Below are 16,137 nucleotides of genomic sequence, written 5' to 3' on the forward strand. Positions count from 1 at the left end.
ATATATACAAAACTGCAAAATGTATGAAGCAAAAACTGACAGAAGGAGAAATAGAGAAATCCACAATTAATTACAATTGGAGACTTCAATGACCTTCAACAACTGATAGACCAACAAGACAGAAAATCAGCAGAGATATAGAAGAACTCAATAACACCATCAACTAACAGCATCTGATTAATATTTATAAAACACTCCAATACCAGAATACACCAGAACACTCCAATACCAGAATACACCAGAATAAAAAATACTAGAATACACCAGAATAAAAAATACTAGAATACACCAGAATAAACAATACCAGAATACACATTATTTTCAAATGCTCACAGAACCTGTATAAGATAACCACAACCTCAGCCGTAAAACTGACCTCAACCAAATTAATAGTGAAATCGTACAGAGTGGGTTCTCTACGCACAATGAAATTAAACTAAAAATGAATAATGGAAAGATAAGAGGAAAACCTTCAAGTGCACGGATATGTAGCAACATACTTCTAAATAATCTATGAATCAAAAAGAATATCTCAAGGGAAATTTAAAAATACATTGACCTGAATTGAAAGTGAAAATACAACACATCAAATTTTGTGAGACATAGCTAACACAGTGCAGAGAGGAAAATTTTATAGCACTAAATATGTACATTAGAAAAGAGGAAAATTCTCAAACTGGTCACCCACCAGTTTATCAGTTTCAAGCTTCTACCTCGAGAATCTAGAAAAAGATGAGGAAAATAAACCCAAAGCATTCAGAAATAAGGAAATAACAAAGATAATAGAAGAAATCAAGAAAATTCAAAGCAAATAGAGAAAGCAATAAAGAAACAAAGAACTGGTTCTTTGAAAAACATTTTAAAAAATGACAAACCTCTAGCAATACTGACAAAAAGTCTTACCCAATCATTTCAGATTTCAAATGTGATTTAGTATCAAATCCTTTATATTTTCAACTTCCTTGCAACATATCTCCTGTTAATTGAGTTTCTTTAAGTGATTGCTTATATATCATCTCTAACTTTTCCCTGTATTACTATGTTTTTCTTTCTATATAACTAAAGAAGAGTTTTAAGAGATTCAATTTGTCCTTGAAGGTCTTTTCCTTTCTCTTTTGATAAACTTGAATAATTTTTTAAAATTATAATGGGATTAACTGAAACATAAAATGGAAATCAGCTTGATCAGCTATGTAGTACAGGTACAGGTTGGGCATCCCTAATCCAAAAATCCAAAAATAGGAACTGCTCCAAAACCCAAAACTTTTTGAGCCAACCTGATGCCACAAGTAGAAAATTCCACACATAAGTACGTAATGCAAACTTTGTTTCATGCACAAAATTGTTTAAAAATATTAAGCAAAATTACCTTCAGCCTATTTGTATAAGATGTATATGAAACTTAAATGAATTTCATGTTTAGACTTGGTTTTCATTACCAAGATATCCCGGTATGTACATGCAAATATTCTAATATCTAAAAAATCTGAAATCTGAAACACTTCTGGTCTCAAGCATTTTGGACAAGGGCTGTTCAACCTGTCATTACAGGCTAACTAAATAAAATTAATTTTAACATACTTTACAATGTTCAGTCAGTTGAAATACTATTTCAGCTTGCTGGTAACAGTCCAGCTAAATTAATCTATCACTTCACTTTAGCATACATGAGCATAAAGAATATGGGGCATGGTGCTTTTTCACATTGTCTACTTTTCCATCATGTGTCCAGATGAGACCAAGGTTTTGCTCCCCAGTTAACAAAACTGAGCTTCAAAATATGATTAAGATGATTTCCAGTGAATGATGAAAATGTTCCGTATCTTGAAAAAAGTGTGAGTTACACACATGAATCCATTTGTTAAAATGGTACAGTTAAGATTGGTGCATTTCAATTTCTGTAAACATTGCCTTAAGAAAAGAACTATACAAAAGTAATCATTAAGCGGGAAGCAGAGAATGGAGAGAAAGGTATAGACAAAACAAGACAACAGAATGTTGTGAAACTGATTGTGTACAGAGGCTTATTCTGTTTACTTTGTATATGTTAGAATTTTTCCATAATAAAAATTTTAAGTTAATGAGTCCTTGTGAGAACATGTTTACGAATGCAAACTTAATTCAACTCTACTCTAGTCAATCAAATCAAAGCAAAAGAGGGCAACACAGAGAAACATTCTCCTGAAACAATCTAACGTAATCCATTTTCTATAAAAAGGCAGTTTCTTGATAGACCCAACTGATATCTTTTTGGGGTACTTTGAGCTATTATCCTCTTTCTATATAACTACCAATGTTATCAAAGACATTTCAAGGATCTAAATGGAGTTTGACAAATACTGTACTGCTGATAAATTTGCTCTGACGTAAAAAAATAATTCAACAACCTATATTCGAGGATGCCTGGTGGTGCTTCAGAGAAACAGAGTGAATAAAAGACTTTGTGGATGCCGTTAAGCTGGAATCAGAACTCAGAATGCTCACCGAAAGAAGGAAGCATTTAAGATTGAGCAGGAAATAATGGCCTTGTTTCAGCAAAGAGATGACACCAGTCCAATATGTTTATTATTGTTGGTTTATTTCATAATTTCATTTTGTTACATTCTCAAGGAACAGTGTGTTCCCAGTAGCATCTATCAAGTGAACCCTGGAGGCTGGTCACATTCATAATCTTTTGTTTTTCTGGCTACATAGAGGTGATTTTGAACTACAAGATCATCTCAGCTATTCAGAGTTTAGATTTTATTTAGCCTTATTTGTTTTGCCTAGCATTTATGTATTTGAAAATATCTTGATTTTTAATCTTCTATCACCTTGGCCCTTACCTGAAGTGAACTTTGTTTGAACTCAATTGATTTCACCTCTCAATAAATATGAAATTAATCTGAAATGAATTGAATTGTTTGGCATATTTTACCTCTTCTATGTGCACTAATCTATTTCACACATTTTCAGTTTGTTTAGAGATACATGTTCCAATGTATCTGAGTAGAAACTAGTGAGATGGGAATGGATATAGCCATAATATTCCATCATTGAATTCCATGGCATTCACTCAAATGTAACTCACCTGTTTTAACAGTACCTTAATTTGGCCTGTATTTATTGGACTTGGTGTTCTTTTTGCTGTGAGAAGACGGTGAAGGTGATTCTTGAATGTTTGTTTTCTGTGTTGCATCATGTTTGTACAACACGGTAATATATTTGGACCTTGATTAAATAATGTAAGAGGGGAATTTGATCAAAAAATAAAATGCACAAGACTGTTAAAACAATGTCTAATTCTATCCATGCAAAAATGGAGTAGAATCCTAAAATGCTTATGACAACTACTTGATTGCTTCTAGTCCCTCTTTTAAATACTTTAATTTACTTAGATACATGTATCATACGTACTTCTTGGCCTCAGTTTTCCTCCTAATAGCCTAATTGTTCTTTTTACTGTGCAGGCATAACTATATAACAAAGTAGGTTTTTTTTTTCATGCCATTTATGAGTCATATAATTTAGATAATTTATTGTTTATTTTACCATTATTGTTGCTAACAAACTTCGTTGTTTTGCATTGTTTGTTGGGACAATTAAATAGTGTACCTCTTGGACTAATAGATTAAATAGTTCATCAGAGATAAATTGCACTGCTGAAGCATCAAAGGAGAAAGACTGAAGTGTAGAATCTGCACTTCAATCTTTCTCCTTAATTAGCACCACCAGGGAATTTGATTCAAGTTCTAGAGGGGAGTGAACCCAGGAATTGGCTTAAAAACAAAAACATACACACAAAAAAACCAACGCTCGCAAGCAATTATTTATGCATGCGGTCCACGCACTCAGTTTGAGAAACACTGACTCGACTTAAAAGTCTTTATAATGCTCAGATTTCTGAAATGCTATTGACCTGAAAACATCTCATGAAGTTATTAGTTTGAACGCGTGGTGGCGGTACAAGCTAAGAGAGTGAATGAAAGCTCTGCAGACTCGGTGGACTCCGTTTCATCCAGAAGCCAAGTAAAAATACAGACCACGTTTACAGCTAAAGCTGAGATAGATGTGTCCGGGAAGGCAGTCGTCGCCAGACAAGTTGTAAGAACGAATTTAAAAATCTCTGCAAAGACATCCGAGAGGGTCGACGGTAGATGTGGTGATTGGGAGCTGAAAAGGATTTTTCTTCCGTATTCAGACATAATAGACATGATGCAAACTAAAGTACAGAACAAGAAAAGGCAAGTGGCTTTCTTCATTTTATTGATGCTTTGGGGAGAGGTGGGTTCTGAATCGATTCAGTATTCCGTATTGGAGGAGACAGAAAGTGGCACGTTTGTGGCCAACTTGACAAAGGACCTGGGACTGAGGGTGGGGGAGCTGGCTTCGCGGGGCGCTCGGGTTGTTTTCAAAGGGAACAGACAACATTTGCAGTTTGATCCACAGACCCATGATTTACTGCTAAATGAAAAACTGGACCGGGAGGAGCTGTGTGGCTCCACTGAGCCGTGTGTGCTACCTTTCCAAGTGTTACTGGAAAACCCCTTGCAGTTTTTTCAGGCTTCCTTGCGAGTCAGAGATATAAATGACCACGCCCCGGAATTCCCTGCCAGAGAAATGCTCCTGAAAATATCAGAAATTACTATGCCAGGAAAGATATTTCCTTTGAAAATGGCACACGATTTAGACACCGGCAGCAACGGCCTTCAGAGGTACACAATCAGCTCCAACCCTCACTTCCACGTTCTCACCCGCAATCGCAGCGAAGGCAGGAAGTTCCCGGAGCTGGTGCTAGACAAACCGTTGGACCGCGAGGAGCAGCCCCAACTCAGGCTAACGCTGATCGCGCTGGATGGCGGGTCTCCGCCCCGGTCAGGGACCTCCGAGATTCAGATCCAGGTTTTGGACATCAATGACAACGTCCCCGAGTTTGCTCAGGAGCTCTATGAAGCACAAGTCCCTGAGAACAACCCCCTCGGCTCTCTGGTTATTACCGTCTCAGCCAGAGATTTAGATGCAGGATCGTTTGGGAAGGTATCTTACGCCCTGTTTCAAGTCGATGACGTCAACCAACCCTTCGAAATAAACGCAATCACAGGAGAAATTCGGCTGAGAAAGGCTTTGGATTTTGAGGAAATTCAGTCTTATGACGTGGATGTTGAGGCTACAGATGGTGGAGGCCTATCAGGAAAATGCTCTTTAGTCGTCAGGGTCCTGGACGTGAATGACAATGCCCCTGAACTCACCATGTCGTTCTTCATCAGCCTCATCCCAGAAAACTTACCAGAGATCACAGTGGCAGTTTTCAGTGTTTCAGATGCAGACTCTGGACATAACCAACAGGTTATTTGTTCAATAGAGAACAATCTCCCCTTTCTACTAAGACCTTCCGTGGAGAATTTCTACACCCTGGTAACAGAAGGCGCGCTGGACAGAGAGAGCAGAGCCGAGTACAACATCACTATCACGGTCACTGATTTGGGGACACCAAGGCTGAAAACCCAGCAGAGCATAACTGTGCAGGTCTCCGACGTCAATGACAACGCCCCCGCCTTCACCCAAACCTCCTACACCCTGTTCGTCCGCGAGAACAACAGCCCCGCCCTGCACATCGGCAGCGTCAGCGCCACAGACAGAGACTCAGGCATCAACGCCCAGGTCACCTACTCGCTGCTGCCGCCCCAGGACCCGCACCTGCCCCTCTCTTCCCTGGTCTCCATCAACGCGGACAACGGCCACCTGTTTGCCCTCAGGTCGCTGGACTACGAGGCCCTGCAGTCTTTCGAGTTCCGCGTGGGCGCCACAGACCGCGGCTCCCCGGCGTTGAGCAGCGAGGCGCTGGTGCGCTTGCTGGTGCTGGACGCCAACGACAACTCGCCCTTCGTGTTGTACCCGCTGCAGAACGGCTCCGCGCCCTGCACCGAGCTGGTGCCCCGGGCGGCCGAGCCGGGCTACCTGGTGACCAAGGTGGTGGCGGTGGACGGCGACTCGGGCCAGAACGCCTGGCTGTCGTACCAGCTGCTCAAGGCCACGGAGCTCGGTCTGTTCGGCGTGTGGGCGCACAATGGCGAGGTGCGCACCGCCAGGCTGCTGAGCGAGCGAGACGCAGCCAAGCACAGGCTGGTGGTGCTTGTCAAGGACAATGGCGAGCCTCCGCGCTCGGCCACCGCCACGCTGCACGTGCTCCTGGTGGACGGCTTCTCCCAGCCCTACCTGCCTCTCCCTGAGGCGGCCCCGGCCCAAGCCCAGGCCGACTCTCTCACCGTCTACCTGGTGGTGGCGTTGGCCTCGGTGTCGTCGCTCTTCCTCTTTTCGGTGCTCCTGTTCGTGGCGGTGCGGCTGTGCAGGAGGAGCAGGGCGGCCTCGGTGGGTCGCTACTCGGTGCCCGAGGGTCCCTTTCCAGGGCATCTGGTGGATGTGAGCGGCACCGGGACCCTATCCCAGAGCTACCAGTACAAGGTGTGTCTGACGGGAGGCTCAGAAACAAATGAGTTCAAGTTCCTGAAGCCGATTATGCCCAACTTCCCTCCTCAGGGCACTGAGAGAGAAATGGAAGAAACCCCCACCTCTCGGAATAGCTTCCCGTTCAGTTAAGTGTGGGATTATTTTACTAAATCTTACTTATGTTTGGAGATCTCTTTTAACTTAAAGTTACATGGTCTGTTTCTTGTTTATTTTACCTCTATTCTTTAGGTTGAAATTTTATATAAAGTAAGATACTGGTATCTTAGTATTTCCTGTTCATGCTTAGTAGTTTATTACTTCACTTGAGGGTACTTGACAATATGAACAAAAAGTAAATTTTTATTTGCATAATTTTAAGCTTTTGAAATTAAATTATCTATTCTTCCCCCCCCCAAAAAAAAGTATTGTAAATCCTTAAGTAAAATTGTATTTCTAGCTATTGGTAAGAGTTGTTTCACTATTGCTATGTAGGACTGTTTAAAATGTGAGTATCTGATATTATTTAATCCTCCAATGTCTCATTTTGCAGTAACTCCTACAGTGTGTAACACTAAAAATAAGAACTAATGATGGCTAAACACTAAAGTAGCCATTCATACTTATGCATATTTTAGTATCCCATAATAGTCAATCCAAAATTTTTGTGACTATAGACTTTACTGAAGTGTCAACACATTAGTTTGTGAGCCTCATGTAAGAACATGATGGTCTTTTTTTAAAAAAAAAGTCGTGCCAATTATAAGTGCTTAATAAATATTTGCTGAATGTTACTAACATTCTAGTATTGATTTTTTAAAAAAACTATTGTATCTACAGCGAAATGCTAATATCCTCTCTACAATAAAATATCCTTACCAATGAGTGAAAGTATGAAATATCACTTCTTAGTCAAATCACTGTTGCTTTCCTTCAAAACAGAAAACAGCTTTGACTCTTCTACTCACCCTACACACCGCTACAGAAAATAAAATGCTTAACAGCATATTTTATCTTTTTTTCTTTGTCTCACAATTTGAAAGTTGAAAGATTTCAAATTATATTTGCCAAACTCCTCCTCTCACTTTCTCAAGATGTTTGATATCTACCAAGATCTAAGTAAGGTATTAGTGGCAGGTTATTCGGTAACATCAGATTTTCCCTTCTAGTGTTGTGTAAGCATCATTTGCTTGTATTAACCATTACACCATTTACCTTCACAGTTTAGCCCATATCTAGTCTTATTTGTGTCAGCTGTATTTGTGATATTTCATTTAAAAATCCCTCTTTCAACTTTCTATCAAAGGCAAGCAATGTATATTAAAATAACAATTCAGTGACTATTTTATTTTATTTTGAGACGGAGTTTTGCTCTTGTTGCCCAGGTTGGACTGTAATGGTGCGATCTTCGCTCACTGCAACCTCCGCCTCCCTGGTTCAAGTGATTCTCCTGCCTCAGCCTCCTTAGTAACTAAGATTACAGGCGCATGCCACCAAACCCAGCTAATTTTTGTATTTTTAGGAGAGACAGGGTTTCACCATCTTGACCAGGCTGGTCTCGAATTCCTGACCTCATGATCCACCCGCCTCAGCCTCCCAAAGCGCTGGGATTACAGGTGTGAGCCACCACACCTGGCTGACTATTTTATTTTTATCCTTAATTGAAGTGGAACTGGGCTGAACTAAATTACATTTGACTGTGTTTTGTGTCCAGATAAGTGAACTGACTGTCATGGATGATTACCAACTGATTAAATGAGTGTGGGGAACATTTACTATTTTGTGTTCTCAGATATATACCCTATTCTCCTTAGAACAGCATTCTTCCTTGGTGAGATTCCTTCTTCCATTGTTCTCACTCCAGTCACTTGGCTTTAGTTGGAGCAGTAGTGTTTTTCAATATCCCCATCCCCCTAATCCTAGAGAATGTACACTGGGGTAGTATACTGTCCAATGCAGACAGGTCAATACCCTTCCCCAGACAGTGTATTTTTGACTTTGTCAACTTTGTTGTCTTCTTTACATCTGTAGAAAAGACATTGCCTAGATTCTGAGCTTATATTGATTTTTTTTTTTTTTTTTTGAGACAGAGTCTTGCTCTGTCACCCGGGCTGAAATGCAGTGGCACAATCTCAGCTCACTGCAACATCCACCTCCCAGGTTCAAGTGATTCTTCTGCCTCAGCCTCCTGAGTAGCTGGGACTACAGGTGTGCACCACCACACCCAATTAATTTTTATATTTTTAGTAGAAACGAGGTTTCACCATATTGGCCAGGCTGGTCTCAAACTCTTGGCCTCCAGTGATCCACCCACCTCAGCCTCCCAAAGTGCTGGGATTACAGGCGTGAGCCACCACACCTGGCCTATATTGATTTTTAATAAGACAAACCACCATTTTCTCTAAATTTCACTGGGCATTGCACATAATAAATTTATGAAGGAAAAAAAGTCCTAAATGGTGGCCAGGTATGGTAGCTCAAGCCTGTAATCCCAGCACTTTGGGAGGCCGAGGCAGGCAGATCACTTGAGGCCAGGAGTTCAAGACCATCCTGGCCAATATGGTGAAATGTCATGTCTACTAAAACTACAAAAATTAGCCTGGTGTGGTAGCACGCACCTGTAGTCCTAGCTTCTCAGGAGGCTGAGTCAGGAGAATCGCTTGAACCTGGGAGGTAGAGGTTGCAGTGGGCCAAGATTGAGGCCACTGCACTCCAGCCTGGGCAACAGAGTGAGACCACGTCTCAAAAAAAAAAAACAAAAAATTCCCAATGGTTATGTAGACCAGAGACTAACAAGAAACAATATTTTTATTTTCTTTCGGGAGTTACAGGCACATTACAATATGAGAATGAAACTAGATTTTGAAAGTTCATGATTTCTTCCAGTACAATAGAACAAATTAGCATTTTTGTAATAGAATGTAAATTCCCCAAGAGCAAGAATTTTTATGTTTCATTTACTGTATTATCCCAGGAAGCTACATGAATGTCCCTACAGGTAAATACTTGTTAATAAATGAATTTGCCTGGAGCAGAGTTTTGTGTACTGAACCTGCACCTTTATAAGGAAGATGAATATAGATACAGACATTACTTTTGCTGTAACAACCATTCTTAGCTACCTGAACAAGGCCTCATAATAGCCGGGGGAAAAGGGAGTATATAACAGGCTATGACCTAAAAGGCCTGCTATATGTTTTAGCTATTACAGTATACAGTGTGCTTTGAAATGAAAATTATCTGAAGTTGTAAAGCAGAACGCTTGGTGGCGCTGCAGGCTGAGTGAAAAACTGCAGAATCAGTGTCTCCTTAAAAGCTGTGCGGGTTTTCTGGCAGCTCCAAAAGGAAACACTTTTTCACTACTGGGGATAGGTTTCAGAGAGGCAGCCATCCCATGTCGGTCAATGTTAAAAAGAACTAACTCAAGATATTTAAATCAAGATAGCTGAGTTGGCTGTAAAGCAATTATTTTGTGATTAAATACTGCATCTTTTGGACCCTGAGGAATGATGGAGACGCCGCTCCCCAAAGCACCAGAGAAAAGGCAAGTGACCGCCATTATTTTCTTATTACTACTGTGGGAGGCGGGCAGCGCTACGATTAAGTATTCAGTTCTAGAAGAGAGGGACAGCGGCTCTTTTGTGGCCAACTTAGCAAAAGATCTGGGGCTGGGTGTAGGGGAACTGGCCGCGAGAGGCGCCCGGATTCTTTCCAAAGGGAACAAACAGTATTTGCAGCTCGAACGGAAGAGTGGGAATTTGCTCCTAAAAGAAAAATTGGACCGGGAAGAGTTGTGCGGTGACATAGATCCATGTATACTACATTTCCAGATGTTACTGAAAAATCCGGTGCAGTTTATTCAAGGTGAACTACAGCTCCAAGATGTAAATGACCATGCCCCAGAATTCTTGGAAAATGAAATCCTCCTGAAAATCTCCGAAGGCAGCCATCCAGGGACTTCATTTCCTTTGAAAATAGCTCAAGATTTGGACGTAGGTAGCAACACAGTTCAGAACTACTCAATTAGCACCAACTCCTATTTCCACCTTTTCACTCGCAATCACAGCGACGGCAAGAAATACCCAGAGCTCGTGCTGGATCAAGCGCTGGACCGCGAGGAGCAGCCCCAGCTCAGGTTAACCCTCACAGCGCTGGATGGTGGGTCACCGCCCAGAACTGGGACTTCCCAGGTTCTCATAGTGATTGTAGATATCAATGACAACGTCCCTGAATTTGCTCAGCGGCGCTACGAGGTGCAGGTCCCAGAGAACACCCCTATAGGTTCCCTTGTCATCACCGTCTCTGCCAGGGATTTAGATGCTGGGACCCACGGGGAGCTCTCCTATTCATTTTTTCAATACTCCAATCAAATCATTCAGGCCTTTGAAATAAACTCAATCACGGGAGAAATTAGATTTAAAAAGGCGTTGGATTTTGAGGAAATTCAATCTTATCACATGGAAGTTGAGGCCTCAGACGGTGGGGGTCTTTCAGGAAAATGCACCGTAGCCATAGAGGTAATGGATATAAACGACAACGCACCGGAACTTACTATGTCCTTACTTATCAGTGATATCCTAGAAAACTCCCCAGAAACAGTGGTCGCTGTTTTCGGAATTTCGGATCCGGACTCCGGGAACAATGGAAAAATGATGTGTTCCATCCAAGACCATCTCCCTTTCCTTCTAAAACCTACCTTAGAAAATTTCTACACTTTGTTAACAGAAGGAGCGCTAGACAGAGAGAGCAGGGCCGAGTACAACATCACCATTACTGTCACAGACTTGGGGACACCCAGGCTGAAAACCGAGTACAACATAACCCTGCGGGTCTCCGACGTCAATGACAACGCCCCCGCCTTCACCCAAACCTCCTACACCCTGTTCGTCCGCGAGAACAACAGCCCCGCCCTGCACATCGGCAGTGTCAGCGCCACAGACAGAGACTCAGGCACCAACGCTCAGGTCACCTACTCGCTGCTGCCGCCCCAGAACCCGCACCTGCCCCTCGCCTCCCTGGTCTCCATCAACACAGACAACGGCCACCTGTTTGCCCTCAGGTCGCTGGACTACGAGGCCCTGCAGGAGTTCGAGTTCCGCGTGGGCGCCTCAGACCGCGGTTCTCCGGCTTTGAGCAGCGAGGCGCTGGTGCGCGTGCTGGTGTGCTGGACGCCAACGACAACTCGCCCTTCGTGCTGTACCCGCTGCAGAACGGCTCCGCGCCCTGCACCGAGCTGGTGCCCCGGGCGGCCGAGCCGGGCTACCTGGTGACCAAGGTGGTGGCGGTGGACGGTGACTCGGGCCAGAACGCCTGGCTGTCGTACCAGCTGCTCAAGGCCACGGAGCCCGGGCTATTCGGCGTGTGGGCGCACAATGGCGAGGTGCGCACCGCCAGGCTGCTGAGCGAGCGCGACGCGGCCAAGCACAGGCTGGTGGTGCTGGTCAAGGACAATGGCGAGCCTCCGCGCTCGGCCACCGCCACGCTGCACGTGCTCCTGGTGGACGGCTTCTCCCAGCCCTACCTGCCTCTCCCTGAGGCGGCCCCGGCCCAGGCCCAGGCCGACTCGCTCACCGTCTACCTGGTGGTGGCGTTGGCTTCGGTGTCTTCGCTCTTCCTCTTCTCGGTGCTCCTGTTCGTGGCGGTGCGGCTGTGCAGAAGGAGCAGGGCGGCCTCGGTGGGTCGCTACTCGGTGCCCGAGGGCCCCTTTCCAGGGCATCTGGTGGACGTGAGTGGCACCAGGACCCTGTCCCAGAATTATCAGTATGAAGTTTACCTGGCAGAAAGCTCTGAGAGCCAGTTAAAGTTTCTTAAACCGGTACTTCCCAACTTCTTGGGTGAAGGGACTGGTGGGGACAGCGAGGCAAACTCCAACTCTAGGAATCATTTTGGGTTCAATTAGGAATCTGACAACAGGTCGTGATAAATCATAGAATTCACTATTCATCTGTAAGTTCCCAATTCTCTCATTCGCGTAGAGTCACATATTCACACATTAGTAATGGCTGTCATATTTATAGCTATTTCAACCTGCTGGACTATTTTCCATTCCCTTTAATTTTTGTTGTGGTGGTTGTCAGCTATGTTAGTTACAGCATGTGCACACAATAGCAGAGAAATGGTGTTTCCTATGGTTGTTGTTTTTGTTTGGTCAGATTTTGGAACTCACAGGTGTTTTCAGGTTCCCAGTATTTGAACTTGTTCATTGATATGTTATGATTAAGAGAATAGTGTTTCAAACTTTCTGGTTATCATCAGCATGACTCTAAGTCTATCGTAAATCACAGCTTTTAGCCTAAAAAATAATTTTCATTTATGCAAAAATTTTAGTAATCTTGTAAATTGTTGCACTTCTGTTGTGTTGTTTCAAAAACACTACTCTTCCCTCAAATGAACCAATATTTTACCTAGGTGATGTTTTCTCTCCTGAATTTCTTTTTTCAAAATTGATATTTATAGACCATCGGCTGTTATTCTAAAGGATTCAACTCCTGTTACATGAAAGAATAATAGAAAAAAGGTTGGTTGACTTGTGATTGCTTTTTTTTTAATAATAAATGGCTTTGGTATGTAAATAATGATTCTCCTTCTTTTAAAATAATATATAGCAGTGGCTCACACCTGTAATCCTAGCACTTTGGGAGGCCAAGGTGGGCGGATCACCTGAGGTCAGGAGTTCGAGACCAGCCTGGCCAACATGTTGAAACCCCATCTCTACTAAAAAATACAAAAATCAGCTGGGCGTGGTGACAAGTGCCTGTAATCCCAGTTACTTGGGAGGCTGAGGCAGGAGAATCCCTTGTGCCTCGGAGGCGGAGGTTGCAGTGAGCTGAGATCATGCCACTGCAATCCAGCCTGGGTGACAGAGAGAGACTCCATCTCAAAAATAAATAAATAAATAAAAATAAAATATAATCATATGATTCAAACATACAGTAAGTACAAAAGAGAAAGCAAATTAACATCATTATTCCACCATCAGAACTAATTTCATTAAGTCAACATCATTCTAAAATATTTCAATGAATGTATATAAGAATAAAGTAATAGATGAAAATAATTTTATAAAATGGATCTATAATAAATTGATAGCTTCTGATAAAAATGATTAGATTGAATACAATAAAACGAAGTGTGAAACTATAGAACTTGCTTAAGCTTTGATAAGTAGTCCCTATAAAGGTTAAAAAGCAAGATTAGATGCATATTAAGACATTAGCATTACTTAACTGCCTGCTTAAAAATGAGCAAATAAACATTTTATACCCGTTCTTTCTTAAACTTACTTATCCTTTTTGTATTAAATATATATTACCTTATCAATATTTATAACATTTACAATGTATTTTGAAAGAATACTTGCCATAATTGTTTATGCATTTCATATTTTTTTTAGACGGAGTTTCACTCTTGTTGCCCAGGCTGGAGTGCAGTGGCGTGATCTCGGCTCATTGCAGCCTCCACCTCCCGGGTTCAAGCGATTCTCCTGCCTCAGCCTCACAAGTACCTGGGATGACAGGCGTGCGCCACCATGCCTGGCTAATGCTGTATTTTTAGTAGAGATGGGGTTTCACCATGTTGGTCAGGCTGGTCTCGAACTCCTGACCTCAGGTGATCCACCTGCCTCGGGCTCCCAAAGTGCTGGGATTACAGGTGTGAGCCACTGCACCTGGCCAGCATTTCATATTTTTTAAATTTTAATTTAAAAGTTTTTTCCAATTTTATTCAAGTCTGACTGCCCAGGGTAACCACTTTTGATGCTCTTATGTGTTTTCCCATATTTACTTCCCTATTTTTAAAAATCACATATGCTTATAAAGTGCTTTTTCTCAAATCCCAGTTTTAGATATCCAGTTTTTAAGGGGTACACACACAGACGCACACACAACTCGGACATTTCCTCTACCTAGCAATATCAAAATTCTGTTTAGATAATGTTTATATAATTGTCACCATAAAAATGTTACTTACACCTAAGCCTGAAGAGTAAAAACAAAAAGCCTCTTTTTTTACCTTTAAGGTCATAATTGCCTTCTTTTTCAACTACTTTTCTATGTACATCTTTTAAAATTACCCACAAATTTTGTAAAGCCTGAAGCTCCTAACTTAGGTTAAACTCATAAAGAAATTTATCGGTTCCATTCTTTTCTCCTGGAGCCATCCTGGAGCTATTCAGAGTCTTGTTCCATTGTACATTGTTTGCTCTCTAGACCTACTGCACAGCTGGCAGTTTGCTTTTCCCACTAACTTGGGAGTTTATCTTCCTCTTCCATTTGATTTCCTCTTCTGGATTTTACATCTTCCTCTTGTTTGGTTTTCTCCCTTAACTGTCAGAAGAATATTTGGTAATAAATCTTTTGATCATATGAATATAAAAATTTCAGATGTCAGAAACGCAAATGTCTATTTGAAGATTTTGTTGGGTGTGGAATTATAGGTTAGGAATTATTTGCTGCTAGTATTTTGAAGACATTCCTCTGTTGTCTTCTAATCACCAAAGTTGAGATATTACCCATTCTTTTCTGAGAAACTTTGTTTTCCTTCTAGATCCCTGATTCTCAACCAATGGCAATTTTGCCACCTTTGGTAAATGTCTGGCAATTATCAAACATTTGGCAATGTCTGGAAACATTTTTGATGGTCACAGCTGCCAACAGTGCTGAGGCTGAGAAACCTTAATCCAGATAAATTGAGGTTCTTGTATGTACCTCCAGTGTTCTAGAATTTCGTCACTGTGTCATACTATAAGAATTTTGGTCATTTATTGCACTAGTTACTCAATGAGACTTGACAATCTTGAGACATGTTCTTCAGACTAGAACAGGATTGTTAGGGTTTTTTTTAATTAAAAAATTATTTCCCCTACTAAATGGTTTTTGGTTTTTTATTCTGCAATTTCTGTTAATTGTATACTGACCTGGTTTGATATTTAATTTTTCTTATTCTTGTTCTATCTTCTGTCTTTATTTTCCTGGATTCCAGTAAATTTCCTCTATGGCTAAATTTTAAGCTTTTGCTATCATAGTTTTACTTTCAGAAAGCTTTTTCTTGGTCTCTGCATATTTCTTTCTATAGTAGCCTTGCAGTTTTAAAATTCTTTGGTGAGCTATAATTCACATACCATAATATTCACTTTTTTAAAAATTGAGTTTGGTGGTTTTTAGTATATTCCAAGGGCTGTACAATTATTACCACTATCTAATTCTAGAACATTTTTCACATTTTCATCAGCACAAAGAAGAAACCTGGTACCCTTAAGCAGTCACTCCCCATTCCCTCCTCCTTCCAGCCCCTGGAAACCACTAATCAACTTTATGTTTCTTTGGATTTGCCTGTTCTAGACATTTCGTGTAAATTGAATCATAGAATATGTCTGGCTTCTTACACTTAACATAATGTTTTCAAGGTTCATTCATGTTACAGCATGCATCAGCACTTCATTCTTTTCTATGGCTAAATAATATCCCATTGTATGAATGTACCACATTTTGTTTGTTCATCAATTGGTGGGCATTCGGGTTTGTTTCCACTATTTGCTATTATGAATAATGCTGCTAGGAACATTCATGTATGAGTTTTTGTGTGAACATGTTTTCATTTCTCTTGGGTGTATACCTAGGAATGGAATTACTGGGTCACATACTGACTCTATATAACTTTTTGAGGAACTGTCAAACTGTTTTCCAAAGTGACTATACCATTTTACATTCCTCTCAA

General features: G+C 41.4%; 1 protein-coding gene, 1 pseudogene and 1 further gene across 3 annotated transcripts; all 3 read left to right on the forward strand.

Moving 5' to 3' along the window:
* PCDHB@ (protocadherin beta cluster) overlaps positions 1–16,137 on the forward strand; it is a 197,972-nt gene that overhangs the window by 94,673 nt on the left and 87,162 nt on the right.
* PCDHB6 (protocadherin beta 6) lies at positions 3,991–7,221 on the forward strand. 2 transcript variants are annotated; one of them, NM_001303145.2, is made up of 2 exons: positions 3,991–4,223; positions 4,429–7,221. In NM_001303145.2, the coding sequence occupies exon 2, from the start codon at positions 4,600–4,602 to the stop codon at positions 6,574–6,576; it is 1,977 nt and encodes a 658-aa protein (NP_001290074.1). In that variant the 5' UTR covers positions 3,991–4,223; positions 4,429–4,599; the 3' UTR covers positions 6,577–7,221. The 2 variants fall into 2 exon arrangements, with proteins under 2 accessions (NP_001290074.1, NP_061762.2); NM_018939.4 differs by having other exon boundaries at positions 3,991–7,221.
* Positions 9,716–12,995, forward strand: PCDHB17P (protocadherin beta 17 pseudogene; annotated as a pseudogene). Its single transcript, NR_001280.2, has one exon. The product of NR_001280.2 is annotated as a protocadherin beta 17 pseudogene (transcript).

Source organism: Homo sapiens, chromosome 5, assembly GCF_000001405.40.
Source record: "Homo sapiens chromosome 5, GRCh38.p14 Primary Assembly".
Taxonomy (NCBI): domain Eukaryota; kingdom Metazoa; phylum Chordata; class Mammalia; order Primates; family Hominidae; genus Homo; species Homo sapiens.